Source organism: Homo sapiens, chromosome 18 (genome assembly GCF_000001405.40).
Source record: "Homo sapiens chromosome 18, GRCh38.p14 Primary Assembly".
Classification (NCBI taxonomy): Eukaryota; Metazoa; Chordata; class Mammalia; order Primates; family Hominidae; genus Homo; species Homo sapiens.
Window position 1 is genome coordinate 58519372 of NC_000018.10, and position 23808 is coordinate 58543179.

General features: G+C 44.0%; 1 protein-coding gene across 1 annotated transcript in view, besides 10 other annotated features; it reads right to left on the bottom strand.

Annotated features, from left to right (window-relative positions):
- The window catches only part of ALPK2 (alpha kinase 2), a 147845-nt gene that overhangs the window by 38125 nt on the left and 85912 nt on the right, over window positions 1-23808 (bottom strand). The window contains exons 5-8 of the mRNA NM_052947.4: window positions 15463-18853; window positions 9720-9867; window positions 4564-4691; window positions 4435-4470 (exon numbers count right to left, since the gene is read on the bottom strand). Coding sequence (NP_443179.3) covers window positions 4435-4470; window positions 4564-4691; window positions 9720-9867; window positions 15463-18853 — 3703 coding nt within the window. The remainder of the gene's footprint in view (window positions 1-4434; window positions 4471-4563; window positions 4692-9719; window positions 9868-15462; window positions 18854-23808) is intronic.
- Window positions 1678-1827: an enhancer, noted in NCBI's record as "active region_13388". NCBI's record gives its function as "activates an Ori minimal core promoter by ATAC-STARR-seq in GM12878 lymphoblastoid cells {active_cell/tissue: GM12878}" and the evidence as "EXISTENCE:reporter gene assay evidence [ECO:0000049][PMID:35858748]".
- Window positions 6697-6776: a silencer, noted in NCBI's record as "silent region_9486". NCBI's record gives its function as "represses an Ori minimal core promoter by ATAC-STARR-seq in GM12878 lymphoblastoid cells {active_cell/tissue: GM12878}" and the evidence as "EXISTENCE:reporter gene assay evidence [ECO:0000049][PMID:35858748]".
- Window positions 15429-15828: an enhancer, noted in NCBI's record as "active region_13389". NCBI's record gives its function as "activates an Ori minimal core promoter by ATAC-STARR-seq in GM12878 lymphoblastoid cells {active_cell/tissue: GM12878}" and the evidence as "EXISTENCE:reporter gene assay evidence [ECO:0000049][PMID:35858748]".
- Window positions 15929-15978: an enhancer, noted in NCBI's record as "active region_13390". NCBI's record gives its function as "activates an Ori minimal core promoter by ATAC-STARR-seq in GM12878 lymphoblastoid cells {active_cell/tissue: GM12878}" and the evidence as "EXISTENCE:reporter gene assay evidence [ECO:0000049][PMID:35858748]".
- Window positions 15971-17170: an enhancer, noted in NCBI's record as "BRD4-independent group 4 enhancer chr18:56202574-56203773 (GRCh37/hg19 assembly coordinates)". NCBI's record gives its function as "activates an origin of replication core promoter dependent on BRD2, P300/CBP, MED14 and CDK7 cofactors, and independent of BRD4, by STARR-seq in HCT116 cells {active_cell/tissue: HCT116}" and the evidence as "EXISTENCE:reporter gene assay evidence [ECO:0000049][PMID:35650434]".
- Window positions 15971-17188: a biological region, named in NCBI's record as "BRD4-independent group 4 enhancer GRCh37_chr18:56202574-56203773".
- Window positions 16089-16308: an enhancer, noted in NCBI's record as "active region_13391". NCBI's record gives its function as "activates an Ori minimal core promoter by ATAC-STARR-seq in GM12878 lymphoblastoid cells {active_cell/tissue: GM12878}" and the evidence as "EXISTENCE:reporter gene assay evidence [ECO:0000049][PMID:35858748]".
- Window positions 16369-16568: an enhancer, noted in NCBI's record as "active region_13392". NCBI's record gives its function as "activates an Ori minimal core promoter by ATAC-STARR-seq in GM12878 lymphoblastoid cells {active_cell/tissue: GM12878}" and the evidence as "EXISTENCE:reporter gene assay evidence [ECO:0000049][PMID:35858748]".
- Window positions 17129-17188: an enhancer, noted in NCBI's record as "active region_13393". NCBI's record gives its function as "activates an Ori minimal core promoter by ATAC-STARR-seq in GM12878 lymphoblastoid cells {active_cell/tissue: GM12878}" and the evidence as "EXISTENCE:reporter gene assay evidence [ECO:0000049][PMID:35858748]".
- Window positions 21788-21867: an enhancer, noted in NCBI's record as "active region_13394". NCBI's record gives its function as "activates an Ori minimal core promoter by ATAC-STARR-seq in GM12878 lymphoblastoid cells {active_cell/tissue: GM12878}" and the evidence as "EXISTENCE:reporter gene assay evidence [ECO:0000049][PMID:35858748]".

Here is a 23808-nt window from a genome sequence, read left to right on the forward strand (position 1 = left end):
GTACATACACCAGAGCCCAATAAACATGTATTATATCTGCCATATCCTGTCTTCCTTCAAAATCCTCACATTTCTAAAATTTAATTATTAAAAGTAAAAAGCTTGTGCACCCTATGCTTTAAAATTCAGCAAATCTAATTAACTGAAGATAAAAGTTGGTCCAGGCCATATGCTTAGAAAGTAGGAAGGAAAATTTGTTTGTATAGTACCATACGTGGTATAATTAACAACCCTGTCTATAATTTCCAACAGAAATGCTTATTTGACAAAGATAAAAACATGAAAGAAAAAAAAAATCTTAGACGTATTCTTTGTCTCTTGAAAATCCTGCAGAGCAAGAGCTGGAGTTCTAGGTGGAACTTTCCAAGCTGAAACTCATCTATTGGGCCTTCCTTTGCAGAAGCAGAAGGTATAGACTCTGTAGCTCTGCAGAAATCTGAAAGGACAGCCTGTCCAAAACTGTCTTCCTCAGCGATGGCTGAAATGAGCGCGTCCTCTTGGTTAGAGTTTGCACCTCTTTTAAAGTGAGAGATGGAGGCAAGACTTCATCCTTTAGACCAATCTCTTCCCTGGTAAGAGTAATGAAGGTAACAGGAGAACTGAGCACCTGAGGGGAGGCTTAGGAAAAGCACGAGTGTAGCACTGCAAGTCTCAGGTTGTGAAGAAGGTGCAATTTTCTTTGCAGCTTTGCAGAGCCATCCGTTGCCAGGACTCACACTCCACGCTGCCCAAAGTCCCTGAGAGGTGGCAGTTCCATGAGAAAGAATCAAGAGAGGCCGGGTGTGGTGGTTCACACCTGTAATCCCAGATCTCTGGGAGGCCAAGTCAGGTGAATCACCTGAGGTCAGGAGTTCCCGACCAGCCTGGCCAACATGATGAAACCCCATCTCTACTAAAAATAGAAAAAAATTAGTCAGGTGTGGTGGCAGGTGCCTGTAATCCAACTACTTGGGAGACTGAGGCAGGACAACTGCTTGAACTTGGGAGGTGGAGGTTGCAGTGAGCCGAGATCTTGCCATTGCACTTTAGCCTGGGTGACAGAATGAGACTCCGTCTCAAAAAAAAAAAAAAAAAAAAAAAAAAGAATCAGGAGAGACTCATTGGAATCCACCAGACAGACTCGTCAGATGAGTGTTGGGAGATTCAAATGCCTCACTGAGGTTCCTTGCTACACCCATACATTGTGAAATCCAAATCCTCAACTCAGAGAAACCATGTGGATACCTGCAGCCACTGGTTACAAAGACTGCTCCGAGGTGCAGAAAAGCAATCTACAAATATATTCATAAAACAAAATAACATCATTAAATTGGGCTTCATTTGGTCCATCATTCATTTCCAACTTTCTCATGAGCTTAGCTTTATTAGTTTTTTAAATTAGAGACCATCTTGTAAAAGATTATTTATTCCTCCTATAGAGAATTAAATTAATAAACTGTTTAGTGAGATAGTCCTCTGAATTTAAAAAAAGTGTGATTAAAAGTAATTTTCCAAATCAGCTGGGTGCAGTGGTGAGCACCTGCAGTCCAGGCTACTCAGGAGGCTTAGGTGGGAGGATCATTAGAGTCCAGGAGGCCGAGGCTGCAGTGAGCTATGATTGTGCCACTGCACTCCAGCCTGGATGAAAGAGTGAGACCCTGTCTCAAAGAAATAAAATAAAAGTAATTTTCAGCTTCTTTATCTGAAGGTACAAGGATAGGGAGGGGCCAGGAGTTACTTCCCCAGCCGGGTGAGTCAGTGAAACTGACACCCCCAGTCACAATGGGGCCAGAAGCTGGGAGAAGGTGATGTCATCAGGGTTCAGACCCAGGCTCTACGGCTGGAGTCACTGGGCTATAGCGGTGGTACCATTTCCACCAAGTGGCCAGTAGCTTATCCCCACTGGGGTCTCTCGCCTGACTAGTAATCCTTGAGAAATGAGCTCATGCACACCTAAACCAATGAAACCTAACAAGTGTCTGAGATGTGAATGCCAATCAATGCTAAGAAGCTGATGAAACAGAGACTCCCTTCTGAGAGTCTTCTTATTTTCTGAAGTATTAGGAGTAAGGGGATTCTTTTGCATATTTTGCCTTCTGGGGAGATGAGAGCAGAAATAGAGGAAGGATTTTAAATTATAACACATGTATGCTACACACTAAAGACGGGTATTTAGCATCTGAGTGGGTTTGTGAAGAGCTTGTATTTAAGTTTACTATTTTGGGTTAATATCACAATATTTGCTAGGCCATTTCTTTTTCTTTCTTTCTCTCTCTCTTTTTTTTTTTTTTTTTTTGAGATGGAGTCTTGCTGTGTCGCCAGGCTGGGGGGCAGTGGCGTGATCTCAGCTCACTGCAACCTCCACCTCCCTGGTTCAAGCCATTCTCTTGCCTCAGCCTCCTGAGTAGCTGGGATTACAGGTGCGTGCCACCATGCCGCGCTAATTTTTGTATTTTTAGTAGAGACGGGGTTTCACCATGTTGGCCAGGATAGTCTTGATCTCTTGACCTCGTGATCCCACTCGCCTCGGCCTTCCAAAGTGCTGGGATTACAGGCGTGAGCCACCGCGCCTGGCCTATTGCTAGACCATTTCTAAGTCGAGATCTCAGTTTCTTACTTTTGATACACTGGATGTGACTGCATTTTGATTACTTTTATTACCTGTTTCTGCAGAGATTTCAGGCGTTCTGTTTGTTTTAAAACTCAGTACATGCAGTAAATCTTTAAGATGCTAGTTCAATTAACTGTCAGAATTTATCCAATTTCTCCTAAAACTGACCGTGGATCCTCCCCTGTGCTGAAAGTCATGATCACATGGGGTGAGGCTGGACCACCGTGGTATGTGGAGCTGGCCTTCTGCAGCTCCTGAGAGCTGATGACGGGCGGCTCTTCCCAGTCCCATGATGTGTGATGTCACACTGGTGGTTTAAGAGTGGCCACACTGAGAGTATTTACATCATGGAAATTGTAGGACTCAGAACTTCCCCAACCCTCAGCATGTTGTTAAATATTTACCCCAGCACACCACCAGGCAAGGGTGGGCATGGGTGGGCGTAGGTGGGTGAGTAATTCTCCTTAAGAGGGAAGACACGGCAAACACAGATTCCACCAAACTGTGGAAAACTCAGTGGGAGGCCCGGGGACATCACGAGCATTCATGAGCAGCAGTGTTAGGCTGTGGCTAACACCAGGTGCCAAAAGAAAGCAGAGAAACCCATCTTTTGTTTTCCTTAAGACACAAACGAATGGAGTGATCCTTCAGACACCTGGCTGTCTTTGGGAATCTGCTCAGCTAGTCAAACTGAAAGGAAAATTGAACAAACAAAACAAGCTGTAATAAGTCCCAGTAGCTGAAAAATCCCATGCAGAAGGGCTGAATGCAAGACCGATGCTTAAAGGGAAAAGTCAAATCCAAACTCCCCCTCTACGTGTTCCCCAAAACTCCACTGCTACAGTGTAGCATCCAATTCTGGATATCTGTAGTCTAATGAACTTACAATAGGAAGTATGGCCCTACATTCACTTTGAATTGGCTCATGAATTGTCATTTCTTTCTCTTTTTTTTTTCTGATTTTTTTTTAATTATACTTTTAGGGTACATGTGCCCAATGTGCAGGTTAGTTACATATGTATACATGTGCCATGCTGGTGTGCTGCACCCATTAACTCGTCATTTAGCATTAGGTATATCTCCTAATGCTAACCCTCCCCCCTCCCCCCACCCCACAACAGTCCCCAGAGTGTGATGTTCCCCTTCCTGTGTCCATGTGTTCTCATTGTTCAATTCCCATCTATGAGTGAGAACATGCGGTGTTTGGTTTTTTGTCCTTGCGATAGTTTACTGAGAATGATGATTTCCAATTTCATCCATGTCCCTAACAAAGGACATGAACTCATCATTTTTTATGGTTGCATAGTATTCCATGGTGTATATGTGCCACATTTTCTTAATCCAGTCTATCATTGTTGGATATTTGGGTTGGTTCCAAGTCTTTGCTATTGTGAATAGTGCCTCAATAAACATACGTGTGCATGTGTCTTTATAACAGCATGATCTATAGTCCTTTGGGTATATACCCAGTAATGGGATGGCTGGGTCAAATGGTATTTCTAGTTCTAGATCCCTGAGGAATCACCACACCGACTTCCACAATGGTTGAACTAGTTTACAGTCCCACCAACAGTGTAAAAGTGTTTCTATTTCTCCACATCCTCTCCAGCACCTGTTGTTTCCTGACTTTTTAATGATCGCCATTCTAACTGGTGTGAGATGGTATCTCATTGTGGTTTTGATTTGCATTTCTCTGATGGCATTCATTTCTTAAGTCACGCCATAGCTCTCCTTCTCGGTTGGAAGAGTCCAGAGGATTACTGCTTCTACTCTTTCCTCTGGGAGCTATTTTATGCTTTACAGTAAGCCCATTTCCTCTGGCAGGTCAACCCTAACTGACTTACCTTTAGTATCCTGGCGACTTGACAGCTGTTTGAGAACTAGAAGAAGACAAAGCAGAGAATGGCTTCAGTACAGATGTCCATTGTGAACGGGCAGGGGCCAGTGGTTTTTCATTGAAAACTGTGGTTTACCTTCAGCTGTGAGGTTAAATTCAGCAGTCACTTTTCCGTAGCTGTTCTTGATGCAGCAGTAATAGAGTCCCTGGTCCTTCGGACTGGCTTGCACGATGGCAAAGGAAACAGTGGAGTTGTCCCCTGCACTGCAATGAGGAATATTCACATTGACACACTTCATCATTCTACAGTTGCATTTTTTCCTAATATACTTAAGGAGAAAGAAGCTAAGACTTCCCTGCTCACATGTTTTCAGCCAGTGAGCTGCCCAAAGGGCAAAATCACGATCAGCTGTTTAAATAATTGATTTATCCACAGAGGAGAGTCATTACATTTTGGCTAACACGCTCACTCCAATAAGCAGTAGGTTTAACTGCCATGAGTAGAGCAAAGAATTGAAATTGTGAATTCTGGGAGCTGTTGTTAACATTTCTGCTCAGAATTCAGCTCAATTATGTGACTAATCCGGGTGTCCTGTGCTTGAAGGAAAGTCTGATAACTCCAAACCCAAACTTATACAGATACAATAAGGGACAAGAGAAAACGGGGTTCTTAGCTTTATGCTACATAAGGATTCGTGACTGAGGGCCCCTTTGTAATAGTGTCCTGTACTCCCCTAGTGAGGTACCAACCATCGAACCATTCACTCACCCAAAATTATTAAGTTCCGGTCACTGTGCTATGAAAACTAAAACTGGTGGTGGTGGTCATATTGGTGGTGATGATGACAGTGATGATGATGCCAATAGCTAATGTGCACTGAGCATTTGGTATGTACCAGGCATTGTGCCAAATCACATAAAGATCAATTTCATGATGCCCTCAGAACAACCTAATGAGAGAACTATGTTTACTATTCTCAGTTTGCAGATGAGGAAACTGAGGCATAGAAAAATTTAAGCAAATGATTTTGACTTCATTAAGCTGCCTCCCCAAGTAAATTATGGTTCCCGCCCTCAAGTCTGGGATAATTTGAAACATAGGGAGAGCCACATATTTATTCCAAAGTCTCAAACAAAAAACTTACTCTACAGCAAAAAAAAAAAAAAAAAAAGGATATTCAGACGTTGTTCTGGTTTTGTTCTTTAAAATGAACTTTGTTTAAACATTCACCAAGATTCTGTGTATGTATGTGTATACATGTGTGTGGTGTACATTTTAGCTTGGGTTCGTTTCATAGTTTAACAACAAAAATTCACCTAGCTTGAGTTTGTCTCAGTTGCATGTTCAAAAACAGTGTTCATTATTGGTTGGTTTTTCAATAGACTTCAAGCCTCCAATATATACATTCCTTCCCTGGAATATACCAGTGGCTTAAAACAAAGTTCACTAAACCATTCTACTTCCTTCATTCCTGGGGTCTCTGAACATATCCCACTGTATGGTTAAAACTGGATGTGAACAAGTCCAGTTATAAGGGGAAGACTTCCGGACAGGGCAGTAAAACACAGAGTGGGCCACAGAGGAGGCTTGTGGAAAGTCCTTCTCCAAGGCTCTAGGATTGGCACAGCCTTTCTGTCATTGAAAGGGGAAGGCAAGGGCTACCCGAAGGGCTGGGGGCTGAACTAGAACTGTCCTGTGAACATCTTCCTTCCAGCCTAGAAATTCTCTGATACTTGGCCCAGAACCACGAAGACCGTTTTTCCTGGCTTGGCCCATGGTCCCCACCCAAGGCTTTCTTCTAGAAGGAATACATGTAGGAGTCAGAAAGGTCTGGATCCCAACCCTGAGGCCGACCTCAGGTGTGCTATGTAGCCTGTCACCCTCAATTTCCTCCTCTGTGAAAGCAGAATGAGCAAGATCACCGCTCAGATGTGTCATGAGGAGTAACGTGTCATGACACCGGCGTGTGAAGCTTCAGCGAAAAGCCCAGTCTTGAGCGTGGTCACGAGTCATTACTTCGTGGTGAGCAGTAGTATTAGTGGGGAACAGTAGTATTAGTGTGCTTTCTCCATGATACAAAACTACCTCGGAAGTCCCAAAGAGTTCTATCCAACATTTGTGGAGTATCTGCTCTGTGCTTAGTACTGGGGGATTCAATGATGAAAAAGAAAAAAAAAAAAAAAAAAAGGCACAGTCCTTGCCCTTGAGGGTCTTCTAGTCTGGGAGGAAATGGACAAACAGAAAATACCAATACAGCTGTAGAAAGCAGTAACAAGTGATCTTGTGCCTTTTTTAACCAAGAGGGTAAGTTCAGTTTCATATCCTCTTACCCTGTAAGGGACAAATCTTTTTACCTTAGGAAATGGCTACAGACAGCAGAACAGCAGTGGTGATTAGCTGTGCAGACAAATGCAAAAGAAGCCCATGTCCAGAGTGTGATCAGAAGAACACAAAGAGTGAAGTTGGCTGCAGGGAGAGGGTACTTAGCATGGGGACTTCTCTGAGAGATCCCATCATCCATCACCAGCCCTAAGGAGCCAGGGCTTGGCAGCACCCCCACCCACCACTCAGTCTGGGCTGAGAAGTCCTCGGGTTGTTTCTCCCAGGGCCATCCAAGGAGATCCTCCCATCCCAGCAGCCAGCTCCTCATCCACTGGTTCCCAGCGGGAACAACATGACCTGTGCTCCATGACCTTGCTCAGCTATCAGTAGGGCCGCTCTACGTGGACAGCTGCCCTTTCAAAAGCCCAGGGAACTCAGAAGGACCTCTCTCCCCAGAGTGGAGAATGGGTTCCTGGTTACCAAGAAGGTACTGATGGCCAAATAGCACCAGAGGGTGCCACCTTGAGGTCTCCATGAAGCCAAGACATGCCACTGCTACACAGAGACTCAAACCAAGCTACCACTTTCTTCTTCTTGGTTTCTTCGAAGTATATTAGTCTTGCCCTACCCACAAGAAAGTCTTCTGACACCTAATTTCCACGCTTTAGCCTGTTAAGGAAAGTACCCAAAACTTGCGGACAAAGGAAGAGGATCACAGTCATTGTTCAACAGGATCATTGAGGATGATCTAGTGAAAGAGAATGCTTTGCTATTTCCCATTTACACAGAACCCACTCAGACACTTTAAGTTACAGGTTAACTTTTAGGTTTCTGTGCAGTAGAAAAGATAACTCCCAAAGTTTATTACCTGTCAAACATTAACCAGTTTTATATCTATTTCAAAATGTATTTCCGCATTCCTTTGCCTGATGGACTATCTAAATCTTCATTCCTCAAATGCTCCTTTGAACAACTCTTGCCATTGTACAGGTTCCCTCATGATTTAGTAAGTTCAAGAAGACCTTTGCTCCACGTTCATATTATATTTGAGAGATTTCAACTCTTTGAAAATGATACAAGACAGTGACATATTTCATGGAGGCACAAATGAAGGGAAACGCTGGACTGGAAGTAGGCATGAGAGAAATTAGCAAACATTTGAAAACCCACTTGAAATAATATAAATGATCTCTCAATAAACAAATGAATTATAACTCTTAAATATTCTCAAGTGTTAGCATGGAGAAAGCAAATGGGTTCAACTAAGCCAGACACTGTCACCAAGGAGAAATGAAGCAAACATCACTAGGAATCAAAGGCCTTAGCCACGCGTCATCAGTAAGTAGAATGCTTACTAATGACATATGCTCCCCAGGGGAAGGTTAGGTTTATCGTAAATACACATCAAATGGAAAAGGGACCCGCAAATATTCAAGTGGTAATTCTGAGCTCAGAGCAAGGCTGATGAATGGAAAAACAGTGAAAATACTGGTTAATTGCTCTTGGCTGACAGCTTCAGAAAATAATTTAAAATGAATAATTAGTACCTTTTTAAGTGAAGCTCTAGGGAACCTCCTTGACTTAAAAAGCAAACCATTTCTTTTCCTTTATAATAATTCTTAAGCCATACCTAAGACAGGCAGGGTAATGGTGACATTTTAGGCAAAGTGGTTATGCTATCAATTACAATCCAGTTAGATGCTCTGGAGTGATGTTAGTAGAAATGAAATCATAGCTCAAGTATTCCATGATTACATTTGAGAAATAGTTTCCAGACATATGTTCCAAGCAGACATATATGATTTAATTAAACAGAAAACTCAGATTTTCTCACTTTTTCAGTCTACTGGTGACAAAATTAAGGGGATTGGAACCCCTCCCATTTCTTAGGGAGCTAAACTGGGAACCCTTTGGCAGAGGGTTGACTTTTGAACCAGGTGATTTGTTTCTAGATTGTGTCAGATGAAGCTTGAATTCATCAGTTCACTTGAACAAGCATTTATTGCCAAGAAAAGCTGCTTAAGGAAGCCAGTAATCAGGTTTATTCCACAGGGGATATTCTTGGCAATGATTCTCACGCTCATCTCTTGCCTCCTCATTCTTCTCTCCTTTATTATCTTAAGGACATGGCTGGACGCAGTGGGTCACTCCTGTAATCCCAGCACTTTGGGAGGCTGAGGCAGGTGGATCACTTGAGGCCAGGAGTTCAAGACCAGCCTGGGCAATGTGGCAAAACCCTGTCTCTACTAAAAATACAAAAGAAAATTAGCCAAGCATGGTGGTGTGCTCCAGTAATCCTAGGTACTCGGGAGGCTGAGGTGGGAGGATCACTTAAGCCCAGGAGGTGGAGGCTGCAGTGAGCCGTGATTGCACCACTATACTCCAGCCTGGGAGATGGGAGTAGCACCTTGTCTCAAAAATAAAAATAAAAATCATAGGGACCCAGAAATAAACAGGTTTTCCCATCTTAGTGATGGCTGCTGGTCACCCTCAATAGCTGTTACTTTTCTGTAACCTCATAGATTGCTGTTGTTGTTGTTTTTATTCATCTCCTTAGCTTTGTTTGACCTTTATCAGATTACTGGGAATTTATGAAACAGAAAACACACCCAAGTTAAATTCACAGACATACAGATGAGAGCTCTTTAATCTTAGGACCACAGAACCTCAGACTAGAATATCATTTGACATGTTCCTTCCCCTGATTTAAAAAATGTAGTGAAAGGTTGTGTGACTTCCCAAAACCCCAGAACTCAATTCTGGCAAAACCTGGGCAAGAATCCTCCATCATTTTCCCCATCCAGACACTTGTCTTCCGATATTTAGTCTTTTTTAATATTGTGGATGTGGAATCTCTGCTTCAATTTTCCTTTTCACGTCCTATAATTTATTCTTTTTTCTTTTTTACAACCATGTTGTGAAATAAACAAGCAACAACTGTGAAAAGTAACCAGGGAAAAACATCGCACCTTCTCTGCACTTGGGCTATGGACTTTGAATCTTTTGTCCAGCAGATAGTAGAATCTTCATGAATTTCTGCAAATTGGCAGCTTAATTTTACATTTCCAGAGTGTTCAGGGAACATCTCAGCTTGGATCTTTTTCAGTAATACTGGAGCTAGAAACAAGATATTTGAAGGTCAGTGTAACAAAAGACTTTCCCATTTCATACCATTTAATTCTCATAACAATCCTGAGAGACAGGAATATTAATTATTATCCCCAATTATGGAAGTGAGAATTGAGTCTCTGAGGGGAGAGGTGGCTTGCCTAAATAGTCGGAAAATTTACAAATCAATCTAATAGAAAATGCTCACTTCCATTACTTAAAATTCTTTAGGTGCAGCCTGTAATGCTTAAAGTGAAATAGAACTTGAGAGATTTTTTCTAAAGGGGATGAGAGGTGGGAGGATTTTAGATATCTATTCTATAGGATCTCATCCAAATAAAGATGTTTTTAAATGATTACCAGATCATCCAGGTCGAAATCAGAGCTAGGAATTAGGGAGTAGAATAAAATCTGGATTATCCAAAAAACTACGGCTAAGCCCCCAAAATGTAAAAGACACCTCAACAATAGGTTATTGGCTGAATAATATTCATCTTTTCCCTTTTATCACACTTGTCTTTGCTGAAGATAACCTAGTAGATTGGAGTGATGTCTGATATCAACCTCATTAGCAAAAGAGAATAGAAGCAATAAGGAAACAATTCCCACTGGTTGGGCTGAGACCTTTGAAATATCACCTCAGTATCAATATCAGTGAGGAACAATTAGCATGCTAATGTGTAATTAGCTAGGGCAGCCACTGGGCGGCAGCCTAGACATTAGAACAAGACAAGGATGAGGCCCCTGTCCCGAGTGGTCGTAACAATTGGGTAGGAAATGAGATTACTGCAGATGTGTGAGTCTATCACAAATTAAGTAGCATAACTCCACAGCGTTGGTAACACAAAAAAGTACATCAGTATAAAACATATGTAATCCGTAGCCAAACCAAGATCACCAATACTGAGACTTTGCTCCACTGCCTCAAATTATACTACGGTGAAAATATCCATGAATTCAAGGTGCTTCTCATCTCTCCTTGGCACCAGCAGATGCTAGGATGACAGAATGCATATTTAAAAGCTAATTCTCTACCCTGGAAGTGATAATGGGCCTGTTGGGTAGCAAATCTTTCAACCAGAGAGTAACCAAGACTGCTAACAGTATCCTGGGAGCCAAGTGGATAATTGAGAGAGAGAGAAAATGTAACAAGTACGTATTGATGGCAAACCCGCATCAGTGCATTTGGGCCTGCTGGTTCCTGCCCAAGCTGAGACCGTGTTCAGGTTCACAATGTCAAACTCTTGGTCCAGGTCTCGACCAAGCCCACCTCCTCATCTGGGCCATTTCCTAGAGGGTCTTTCCAACACCATGCAGTGGCCGGCTTCATGGGTGATGTGGGGACACCTAAATATTCCTAAGCCTGCCAGAACCTGTTGTACCGAACACAAGGAAAATTGGAGGATGGCGGGAAGGGCATGAAATGGGCAGCAGAACTGAATGATGGATGGTCTGTGGGAGATTTGAAGCTTGTTTAGCCGAGGGGCTTTGGGCTTTGGATAGGACCCCTGACTATGTGAGACAGAGGTGGAAAGTGCAGCTGAACGAGCTCAAAGGAGACCTGGAGTGCAGCTAGTTTTTTCTTCCGTGTGCAGGTTGGGCTAGTGTTGAGGGAAAACGGTAGTAAAGTCCCCGGTGAATAAAAAGTTTCTGTTGTACTAAGCTTTGGACATCAAAAACGATTACTCAGGCCTGGCATGGTGGTTCACACCTGTAATCCCAGCACTTTTGGAGGCCGAGGCAGGAGGGTCACCTGAGGCCAGGAGTTGGAGACCAGCCTGGGCAACATAGCAAGATCCCATCTCTAGAAAAAAAAATTAGCCAGGTGCAGTGCGCATGCCTGTGGACCTAGCTACTTAGGAGGCTGAGGTGGGAGGATCGGTTGAGCACAGGAGTTCAAGGCTGCGGTGAGCCATGATCTCGCCACTGCAATCCAGCCTAAGTGACAGAGTGAGACCCTATCTCTAAAGTAATAATAATAATTTTTTAAAAACATTACTTAGGGTTTATTTCTTTTATAATGATCCAAGTCACTGCTCCCCTCATCCTAACTCCCGCCCCACCAGTTAACTGGTGGGAAGGCATTAAATCTGTGCTCCTTTGGGGATAGCAGGGTGGGTACCAGACTGCTGGGTAGGGCACAGTCGAGATGTCAGCCAAGGGGTCTGAAGTGTACCAGCCGGAAAGCAGTGACGAGGACTCAGGATCTTACAAAAGCCATCACAAGAAGGAAGGAGAACTTCCTAATCTGGTGTCTTCCTGGTGGCAACTTTTGTTATTTTTAAGCAATGAAATTGCTGTTGCTTACACTGAGAAAACAAAATAAAAAACCTTTGAGTGCTCAATGGTGGAGTAGATTCTTAAAGGAATTGGCCCACGGCTAGAAAACCGTAACGAACAACTAGAAGGTGATAAGTTGAAAAAAAAAAAAAAAAAAGGACGGGCATGCGGGCATGGTGGCTCATTTTGGGAGGCCAAGGCGGGCAGATCACAAGGTCAAGAGATCTAGACCATCCTGGCCAACATGGTGAAACCCCGTCTCTACTAAATATACAAAAATTAGCTGGGCATGGTGGTGCACACCTATAGTCCCAGCTACTCGGGAGGCTGAGGCTGGAGGATCGCTTGAACCAGGAGGTGGAGGTTGTAGTGAGCCGAGATTGCACCACTGTGCTCCAGCCTAGTGACAGAGCAAGGCTCCGTCTCAAAAAAAAAAAAAAAAAAAAAAAAAAAAATAGGCTGTTGTCAAGGGCTGGCCCTCTGAATGCTGCCATTCCAAAAGGTAAATGCCAGAAGAGAATTATTTTTCCTGTCTCTTGTCATCATCTGTGTTGATTCGTATGGATTAGTGCCCACAGTGGATTCATATTAGATAAATATTCAGTGCATTCATTATCAAAGTCACCATGGAAAATAACATGTCCTTAATAAATGGATGAATATGTTGGTCAAGCAGTTATTTCCCATCAGTCGATGGCCCTTCCAGTACAATAACCTAGTGCTGGTTTGTAGTTAGATCAGGGAGCTGTGATCCTAAAGAAAAGTGGGTGCCAGTGTTCCAGAAACCCGTTCTAATTTTCTCTGCAAAGAAAATCCCCACACGAGAGGGGAGAGGTTGGCCGCCAGTGGCAACTCCTCCGAAGCTGGGAAAGGACTGCAGGGTCAGAACCTACCCCGGCATGGGCAAAACCTGCCTGGGACTCCCATTTACCTGCTGACTCAAGGGTAACTCTGGTGAACCTCCCCCTCCTGCTCCGTCACCAGATGACTCCTACCTTCTGGCCGAGGCCCTGAGTTTTTCAGAGAGGAGGAGCTGTGGATGCCAGCACCACTCTTTCTCCTAATGCTAGGTTGGTATCAACTCAGACACAATGATCTTTTGCCTGAACTAAGCTCTCTATTTATTTCATAAGCATACTGAGCATAAGCATTGCCTCATTTTTTATTTAAAAACACTAATTTAAAAAAACAGTAACTAACAACCATGAGAGCTGTGTTAGGCCATGTGCCATTCAAATTGCTTTGCATTTTTATACCTGAGAGGAGTCTTATCATTAGCACCCCCATTTTACAGGTGGGGAAAGTGAGGCACCCAGAGGCTAAGGCATTTGCCCAGGGCTATCCAGGTACTGCCAGAGGCCAGACTTGAACCCAAGCAATATAACTCCTAATCTATACCCTAACCACCATGATACAACTTGCCCCAGATGGACCCAAACACCCGCTAGTATCTCTAACTGAATCTTTGCCTCTTAATGGCCTCTGTGTTGTGGGTGGCATGAGTAACAACCCTTCAGTGGTCTGGCCTGGAAAAGTCTTTGGTTGTCTCTACCCCGTAGTCTCCGGCAGGGCCCTCTCAGGACAAGGCTGGCTGCCCTCGCATCTACCTGCTTTGCTCAGACCAGTGGCTCCCAGAAGGCGGCATGCTCGGTCTTTGCAGCCTTTAGTGCAATGGCGAGGTTGTGCTGCAGCTGAAATCAAAGTCTTTGACGGCGATTGATTTCAACACTGCCTATCTGGACAGTCCTCTTACCCATGGGTAACTTGAAAAGTCACAGGCAAGAATTCCAAAAAGGTGGTTTTGCTTGTCTACCTTTACCTGCAAAGGAACCCCTATCCCCAAACAAGGGGGTTGAGGCTGGTCCCCAGAGGCAATCTATTCAGCCTCTGGGCTGAAACCAATTTTGAGAGCTTTTGAAACATTGCTTCATTCTATTTAATTTTTTTTTTTTTTTTTGAGACAGGGTCTTGCTCTGTTGCCCAGGCTGGAGTGCAGCTGGAGTGTGGTGGTGTGATCACAGCTCACTGTAGCCTCGACTTTCTGGGGTCAGGTGATTCTCCTTAGCCGCAGAGTAGCTGGGACTACAGACGTGCGCCACCATACCCAGCTAATTTTTTGTATTTTTCGTAGAGATGGGGTTTCGCCATGTTGCTCAGGCTGGTCTCAAACTCCTGGGCTTAAGCAATCCTCCTACCTCGGCCTCCCAAATTGCTGGGATTACAGGTGTGAGCCACAATGCCGAGCCATTCTCTTTAAATATGCTTTAAAATATAGATACTAATAACCTGATTGGATACTTCCAAACTCTTCAGAAGGCAGTTTTGTCTTTAAACCTTTCTGCAACAGGGGTTAGGACCCATTTGATGGGATGGGAATAACAAACGCCAGCCTCAAAATCTAAGGACTCAGGTTAAGAGAGGAGAAAATTCTTCCCTTCTGATCAGCCATCCGTAGCTTTTCGCTCCAGAGCACACAGGCCACTGTAGCTTGCTGCAATATTTTCTCTTCTGACTTCTACCAGGGTGTGTGGGGAGAGAAAGAAGAGCTCTGAAATAAAACAGGCTAAAATTTGGTCTATAAATGGAATTTGGGACTGAAATGATTCCTCAGACAAAGTAGAATTAACTGCAATTTCAGGACTTTTTTTTTTTTTTTAACAGCATCATAGGTAGAGGTTGATCAAGGACTTTTGAGGCTTGAGTGGTCTGAAACCTAGAACAGAGACCTCAGAGGATTTTAGATTTAGATAAATGGGAAGGGTGAGTTGAAAAGAAATGTTACACTCAAATTTGGAAGAAAAAACCAAGGTTCAAGGAAGTTATTTTTAATGAAAAATCAGTGATTAAAGAGGAGAATCCCAATTTGTACCAAAATATTCATTTCCACAAATCCTGCTTAGTGCATGGTCTATTTCATTATACTAATTAGCTACACTGATTAATGCTTCTGTTTATATTTTTAAATAGATTTTGTAAAAGAGGATAATGAAACGGAAAAGCACCTTCATCACATTCCCCTCCAACAGACATGCCTACAGGCGGCCTTTATCAGTGGTTCTCAATCGTGGTTCTCCCGATAGATCACCTGGGAACTTGTTAGAAGTGCAAATTTCACACACTGGGGGAGGGGAGCAATCTGGGTTTTAACAAGTCCTCCAGGTGATTCTGATGCCACATGCTGAAGCCACTTGGCCACAACCATAGCATCAATGCCCACCTGGGGGACACTGGCCTTAATTGCAAAGGACCCTCGAGGACACAGGAACTGGATACCTGGTCTACAAGCCCAAACTTTAACAATGATGGACAGCAACAGAACCTCACCTCTTCCTTCTCTTTTGCAAGATGGCTTTTTTGGGTCTTGTTTCTCTTCTGTGTGTGATAATGATGTTTCGAGTTTGGGCATCTTTTTAAGAAAGGCTGAGTTCTTTCTGATATTTTCCTTTTCTTCCAGTTTCAGCCTCAGTGCTGCCACCCTGGACAAAATTTTCTTCTTTACTCCCTCAGCTAAATGTCCACTGCCTGGGGCTTCTGGCTTCCTCTTGACCTCCTCTGACCCCGTCACTGCTGTGAGGGTCCCTGGCGATTTGCCTGCTCGGGCTTCCAGGGACTTCTCTCTCTCCCTGGACTTTTTCGCACAGCCCAGGGTGCCCTTTTGACATGGATCCTGCAGTAATTTAGGGGCTTTCTCTAACTCACGTTCTCCTGAAATAAATGCCAAGGTCTTCGCTGAGGAGCTAGATGAGCTTGGGGGTTTGGTTTCCCCAATTTGAAGCACCTCTATTTTAGGTTCCTCCATTTTGTGGCTTATCAAAAAGTCTGTGACATTTCCTTCAGGAGATGAAGTACAAGGGAACCTGGTAAGATCAGGAGAAGAGGGCAAAGGTTTCCCACGCTCATTCTCAATAGTTCCCCTTTTCTGTGAAACAGGAAACACATACTGACGCTTTCTGGGCTCAACTATGTCATTTTCAGGGACGTCATGAATTTGGCCTGTGGAGTTGTGCGTGTCAACCCCAAGAGAAGCGTGAGTCATTATTGGAAGACAACTAGAAAGAGGTGAAGTGGGGGAAATCAATTCTGCTTTGTCCTTTTTGCTTTGCTCAGCCTCCCCTAAGCTCCCATCACTGCTTTCTTGTATTTGGCCTATGCTACATCCACTTGGAATTCTTTCACCGCCTTCGCTGGGTTGCAGGACTTGCCAAATGGCAGTTTTTGCCTCCTCAGGTTGAATTTGTTCAGCCTCCTGCTTCATACTGCCTTCTTGGCTTCTGCTGATTCTATTTTCACTCAGAATGGTTCCCTGGAGACATGGAACTTGCAAAATGGCCGGCTGGATTTCCGCTTCGTGGCCCATGTTTCCGTCATTTGATTGACCCCCTTCTCTGGCGCCCTGTGGTGTGGTTTCAGAGGGCTCTGGTTTTCCAGCCCTGGTGTACTCTATCACACTTATCTCATCAATGGGATCTACAGAGGACTCTAGGATTTTAGGGCAGGTCAGAAACTTTTTAAAGAAGGCAGTGTGATCCATCTTGAGTTGTTTTTCCTCCTGGTCTTGACTCACATTGTTAACATTTTCCTTCCCTCCAGTTTCAGAAGCCGCTGACAGTGAATCTGTGACAGATAACTCCTTTTCATCTACAGGGTCCACGGATGACTCCAGGAGTCTGGGTTGGCTGAAACCCCGGGAAGAAAGACTTCTCCAATGTACACTGATGGTGGGCTCTTCGCCTTTATGGCTTTCTCTGCTATCAGCAAGGGCTGACTCAGCATCCTCTGGACTGTGAGCCAATGCTGCTATTTCAGAGGGGGCCAATTCAGGCACAACAGCATCTGCCTTTAGACTATCAGGTACAGCCCAGACCTTGTCAGGAATTATGAGACCACCGTCTGATGCCTTGCTCTCAGAATTTGTCAGTTGTCGTGGTGGCCAGATTTCAGAAGCGGAAGCCTCTAGAGTTATAATCTTCAGCTTGTTGCCTGCCTCCCAATTTCCAGGTCTATATTCTTTAGACTCTTCCAAAAGGATATCAGAGAGAGATGGAACGTTGCTCAGAGCCTGACTGTCTTCTTCCCCAGCAGTTTCAGCCACCACGGAGACCCTCGTCCCCCAACCTGAGCGCTGCCCTGCTCCTTCCCTAGAGCTTGCGGGTGAGTGGGCCGTGGGCACCAAGTTTCTTTCCTCTTGTGCAGCAGATGTCGTAGGCAAACTTTGTTGGAAATCAGGTGCAGAAAGAGAACCCTGCTGGGACAGGCTCTGCTGCTGGACCCCCTGCTTTGTTTCACTTCCTCTTTCTTGGAAATTCTCTTCATAGCTCCTAAAGTCTGCTCTGTCCACAGTCTGGCTCTTATCTCCAGACAGGTTATCAACCTGAAGAGGGGAATTACTGCAGAAACCCTCTCCCTCTGGGAGCTGCAGGACATGGTGTGGGACTCCTGGCACACTGGGTGCCCTGCAAAGTAGCTCTTTTGTAGATTTGATGGTAGCACCACTTAAAATATGATCCAACTGCACTTGGGAAGGAAATTGGGAAACCTTTTCATGGGATGCACGAGGGAACCTCTCCTCAGTGCCACCTGCATGCTTGTCCTCAGGAATTGACACAGCAAGGTATTTGGCTGGGTGGACTTCGGTGGCAATGGTAACAGTTGATGTGTCCTCAGTCTCCCTGGTCGCTTGAAAGCACTCATTATTAGCAGTTAATGTTGTTGGCTTCTCCCAAGGAAAACTCACAATTGAACTATAACTGGCTGGTGTGGCTGTGGTGTCTGCGGCACTAGGACTGGGGCTCTTGTCACCTCCTTCTTTAAATTGCACTAAAGGATTGTTCTCAGAAGAAAGGAGCTGTGTTTCATCAAGCCCTCCTGAGTTGCTGGGGCTTGGCTGCTCCTGGCCAGCATGTACTGTGGAGGCCAGTGGGTAGGTGGAATTCTCCACCTTGGCTAGATTTTCTCCTGTGGCACCTTCACTAGCTGTGTGTGAAATGTTCAAGGTGAAAGTACTGGTAAAAAGAGGGGACATGACTGAGTTGCCGTCCTTGCTGCTTTTGCACGTAGACACTGAAGTCTCAGACACTTGTGTCTGAAAAAAGACTTCCAGTGTCTTGTCATTAGAAGAACATAAATCAGATACTTTGTTTTGACCTTCTGCCAGTTCCGTATCTACAGAGCAAATTTCTTGAGGCGAATATTTATCAACTGGTCTCCCAACAAGAGAATCTATGGTATCAAAACACGTTCCTTGGTCACCAGCCTCAAAACACTCCATTGCACACACTGCTTCTCTGTCCCTTGGCTCATCACACACATTTTCCAGGGTGAGGGCAGTATCTGTGGGTTCAGGGGAAGCAACAGAGACAGCCACAGGCTCCCTGAAGTCAGCACGAGCATCCTTGGGGAGATGCCTTGAGAACACACCTGGGGACATAGTCTCATCATTGGCTTCTGAGATGCTCTGCTCATATTTTAGGTCTTCCCTGAAATTGTCAGGTATGTTGCCATCTCTGTCTTGTTTTTCTTCATGCTGTGGACCACAGGTACAGGGTTTGACCTCCGAGTGTTGAGCTAATGATGCATTTTCCTTGTGGACCCCTCCTAAGTTTGAGAAGGAAATTGTTGTGGTCCCAGTGAATGGGGACTCCTCCCCAGCAGGCTCTGAGAAAGCTGGCATCTGGCTGCAAGAGATTGTCTCTCTGACTGTTTCCTGAACTTGTACCTAGGAAGATGAAAAGTGATATTAGTAGAATTGTTCATGGGAGAGCCCACAATAGGGCATAACTGCAATCCCAAGAGTGTTAATCCTCAATGACCGTAATAATGGACAAGAATGATTGAAATCTAAACATTAATCCCCCAACTCCCTCTAGCTATTAGAGATTTCCTAGAAAACTGCAAATTTAAGCAACTCTGTGTTCCAGGGGGCCCTTTGTCAAATTCATCATTATAAGCAAAAAGCCTCCTGACAACCATCATTTATTTAATGATTTCTTTCTCTCTTAGGAAATAGATGGAAATAAATCGAATGTTAACTGTTTTGATCAAGTAAGTCACAACAAGAGCTGTGCGCATCTTTCCAGAAAGATGAATCTCACATGATCATAATAAATGAAATAAACAGTACTTGCAAAACAGCAATAAGCAATCTTTGTCCCCAAAATATAACAGCTTGCTGGTTAATAATTGCTATGGTTTGGATATTTGCCCCCTCCAAACCTCATGTTGAAATTTGATCCTCAGGGTTGAAGGTGGGGCCTAATGGGAAGTGTTTGGGTTATGGGGGTGGATCTCTTACGAATAGATTTATGCCATCCCTCAGGGGTGGGGGGAATGAGTGAGTTCTCAATCTATTACTTCCTCGTTGTTAAAAAGAGTCTGGCACCATCCCCACCCCCACCCTGCTTCCTCTCTGTCCATACTATCTCTGAAAATGCCAGCTCCCCTCTGCCTCCCATCGTGAGTTGGAAGCAGACTGAGGCCCTCACCAGATGCAGATGCCTAATGTTGAACTTTCTAGCCACCAGAATCATGAACCAAATAGGCCTCATTTCTTGATAAACTACCCAATCTCAGGTATTCTGTTATAGCAACATGAAGTGCACTAAGATAACAATGTTACTAAAAAACAGAGAGAAGGCTGCCTTTGAACCCACCTCTAATGAATAAATGGACTTATGATTGGCCACCAGCACTGCCAATCATTTCTTTCCTAGAGAAGCTTATAAACATCCCAGAATGTATCCCAGACTTTAAAATAGATGCCCAGTGGCAGGCAGACCACCTCTACAGGAAATAGAAGATTCAGGACTGCTTAGGTTTTTGAGAAAAGGGGAGAGGGGGAGGGAGGGAGGAAGAGAGGAAGGCAGAGAAAAAGAAACCTCACATTCTGAGGATTGAGCCTTTCATGGTACTATATGAACGTTCCATGATATTGGATATTGTTCAAGGAAGCAGCAAACTCTTTGACTAAATCCTTGTCTCATGAAACTTTTAGCTCATTGATTATTTCAAAACAAAGAAAACTTATGTCCAGCCAAGGAGAAGAAAATTACTTCTAATTTCTGAAGCAACTCAGTCTTTGCTCCCAGGACTCCTGCCTTGGACAGCCACATTCAGATGTGCAGGGAACAGATGACTGGCCTTGGCGGGATGGGGTTCAGGGGTGGGGATGAAGTCTGTCTCCCAGCGTATGACAAAACAGAGCTGAAATGTTCATGGGCATATTATGGCTCCAATGTCATGAGATTGATTCTCATAAATCATACATGACAGTCAGTCTTACTACCTTGTGGTCAATCCCTGTATGTACTGCCCGTGGGAAGCAGGACAACAGCATAATCACACCTCTTTCCACACTTCCCCCAGGCTGCTTACAGCCTGTCAGTCATGCATCTCTCATTTTCTCTTTTAAAGCTACTTTGAGGTTCATTTAACTCATATTTGATGGGCATAAAAATGCTAACTAAACAAGAAAGAAATTTAATATAAACTCCATGAGGGCTAGGACTACTTAATCTTTTCAACAAATATTTAGTGAATGCCTCCAAAGTACTAGGGAGTGTTTTAGATAATGGGGATACAAGACAGGCAAATGCTCATCTACAAGGAGCTCCCATTCTGTGTTCTAGTGAAGGCCTGTTATAGCGATTAGCATGCGGTAGATGCTTACTAAGTGTTTGTTGAGAGAATGAATAAATGAATGAACCATGTACCAGTTGAGACAGCTGTAGCCAACTTCACCCATTAAAGCTCTACACTTGAAAGGGTTTGAACTTTCATCTGCTCCTGACTTTGCAACAACCCCATTTTAAAAGAGACTTTGAACCCTAAGCACTACTGGTTATCCTGGTGTTCCCGGAAAGAAAAGTATATTTATTCCCTTTCTATATCCCTTTTTCTTCTTTATTAAAAAGAAGAAATATCATTTCTGGGAAATAAGGGATAAGGTATTTTTTTAAAAGAGTTTGATGTGCATATGCTTTCCTCTCTATACCTCAATATCTGTAACACATGTAAAGAGTACTTTTCTGGTTTGGTATTTTGGTTCAGCCTTTTAAGAATATGCTATAGCACAAATAGACTGAGTCATTAAGCACAGAAAACATGGGGAACTTCCTGGTCATTATGTGAAATGTATAGAGAGACTGCCCCATCAAAAGCACCACCACCCCTCTCTCCGGCCTTTCTATCCTGCCTGCATTTCCACTACCTATGTCAGTCCCTTATTTTAAGGTCCTGGTATTATCACAGTATCATCAGTGTCAACAGACATTTATGGAGTAGCTGTCATGTGCAGAATTCTCTGTCAGGCACTGGGCAATTTTTTCCAAAGGGCTTCAGTTAAAAAGTTACTATGATATTTACTGGGATGGTACCTTTATTCTTCCGTGATTGATTACTATTACATCAGCAAAGTAATAAGCGGGTACCTAGAAGAGACTGACCTCTGAAGAGAATTAAACACAGGACAAGTTTTCATTAGGATGAGCTTGGTCACTGGAATAGATCATCATAGTATCATGCCGTGATTTACAAAATAATCATATTCCATTGAGATTTATTTGCACCTTTCCTCTTGTATTAGTCAGTTCTTGCACTGCTATAAATACCTGAGACTGGGTAATTTATAAATGAAAGAGGTGTAATTGGCTCACGGTTCCACCGGCTATACAGGAAGTATGGTGGCAACTGCTTCTGGAGAGGCCTCAGGGAACTTTACTCATGGCAGATGGCAAAGCTGAAGCCCACATCTTGCCCGACAGGAGCAGGACCAAGAGCGAGCAAGGGGGAGGTGCCGCACACTTTTAAACAACCAGATCTCACAAGAACTCACTCATTGTCACGAGACCAGTACCAGGAGATGGCGCTAAGCCATTCATGAGGAACCACCCGCATCATCCAATCACCTCCCACTGGGCCCCACCTCCAACATTGGGGATTACATCTCAGTGCAAGATTTGGTAGAGACACAGATCCAAACCATATCGCCCCTCTTACTTTTAAATTAAAATTCTACTTCAAAATACCCTAGTGAATCTCCACATGTAAAAAAATTGGTTGAATCCTTGACCGTGTAAATTCATACATTTGACACACATTTAGTGACCATCTACTTTATACCAGGCACTGTTCTAGGCAGCTGGGAAACATCAATGAACATAACAGAGATTGCTGGCCTGTGGAAGTTACGTTGAAGCAACAAACCGTACAACTGGCCCGCTGCTGATAAGCAATTCCATAAATTTGATTTTAACCAATGGGGTTTTTTTTGAAGTGAAGCCTTTAACAGCCCAGTTCATATTTGTACTTGCTTACGGCATCAGTTTCAAGAGCAGGCTCCTCGGTTCTCATCCAGAGGCCAGCTCACAGAGAAAGGGAAACCACAGACTCACACCTTCCCAATGAGTCAGACCTTTCTTTTAGGAGGAGATTTCTTAGTTAAGTCATTACAAAAGAATGCTAGCAAATGATTCTTCTGCTGTGCACCTATTCTCAGCATAGAATGAGTGCTGAAACTTCGAGTGAGTGCTGACACAATTTCCTTATGTAGGGAAATTGTACTCATTCAAGTGAAAAAAGGAGTGTTTGGGGCTCTAGGAGTAAGCCCAACATAGTGTGTGGTGCGTGGACTTGGAGGACTAGCAACCAGCGTTTGTAGCCCAGCTTAATTGGATATAGCATGCATGACCACGGGTAACCTCTTTAGCTTCTCTGACCCTCTGTCTCCTCCTCTAAGACTAACCACATGCATGTCTGCACCATCTTGTCAAGTGCCTGACATATTGCCTGGTGCCCAGAAGGCACTCACTCACTGATACTAATTTTCCTTCTTCTCTGTGAAAAAACAGCAGTAGCTCAGGAAAAGAGGAAGTTGGGGAGCTCTGACAGGCAGAGCCTTGAGCTATGAGCTTTATGAGGGTTTTCTCATCTGATCCGTAAAATAAATCTGAGAAAAAGATGTTATCATCTCTTCTTTACTGATGAGATGAATAGCCTAGGTCCAATCATAGAAACCACACAGTAGGTTATATAAGAGAAGTTCAATATAAAGAACTATTGACTGTGATAGAAGAGTGCTATAAGGTATAAGGAAACTGTCTATAGTACTCTAGGTAAGGGAAAGTACCAAGGAAGGACAAAGTTGGAAGAGGTTTAGACCTACTTGGAGAAGGTGTGGTTAGGCCACCAGATAGCACAGAAGTTCACTGGTGCATCCAGACCAGAGCTGGCCTGGAATTGCCGAGAAAAGCAATAGACCTCCCTTCCAAGTGCAGGCCAGGAGTAGGTGGTCAGCATGCAGTGGCGTGGGTGTGCAGGGGAGTCTGGGCATGGGTGGTCACAGGGGCTGAAGCCTTCAGAGCTTGTGGGCTACATGTGGTGTGGGTCAGGAGTTTGCAGAGTGCTAGTTTGAATGTCCACTCAAAACTCATATTGAAACTTAATCCCCAGTGTGGCAATACTGATGGGTGGGGCCTTTAAGAGGCGATTGAATCATGGGAGCTCTGCCCTCATAGAGGGATTAATCCATTTATGGATTAATGAATTAATGGGCTGAAGGATTGATACGTTATCAAGGGAGGGGACCTGGAGGCTTCATAAGAAGAGGAACAGAGACCTGAGGTGGCATAGAGCGTGCTTAGCCCCCTCGCCATGTGATGCCCTGCTCTGCCTTGG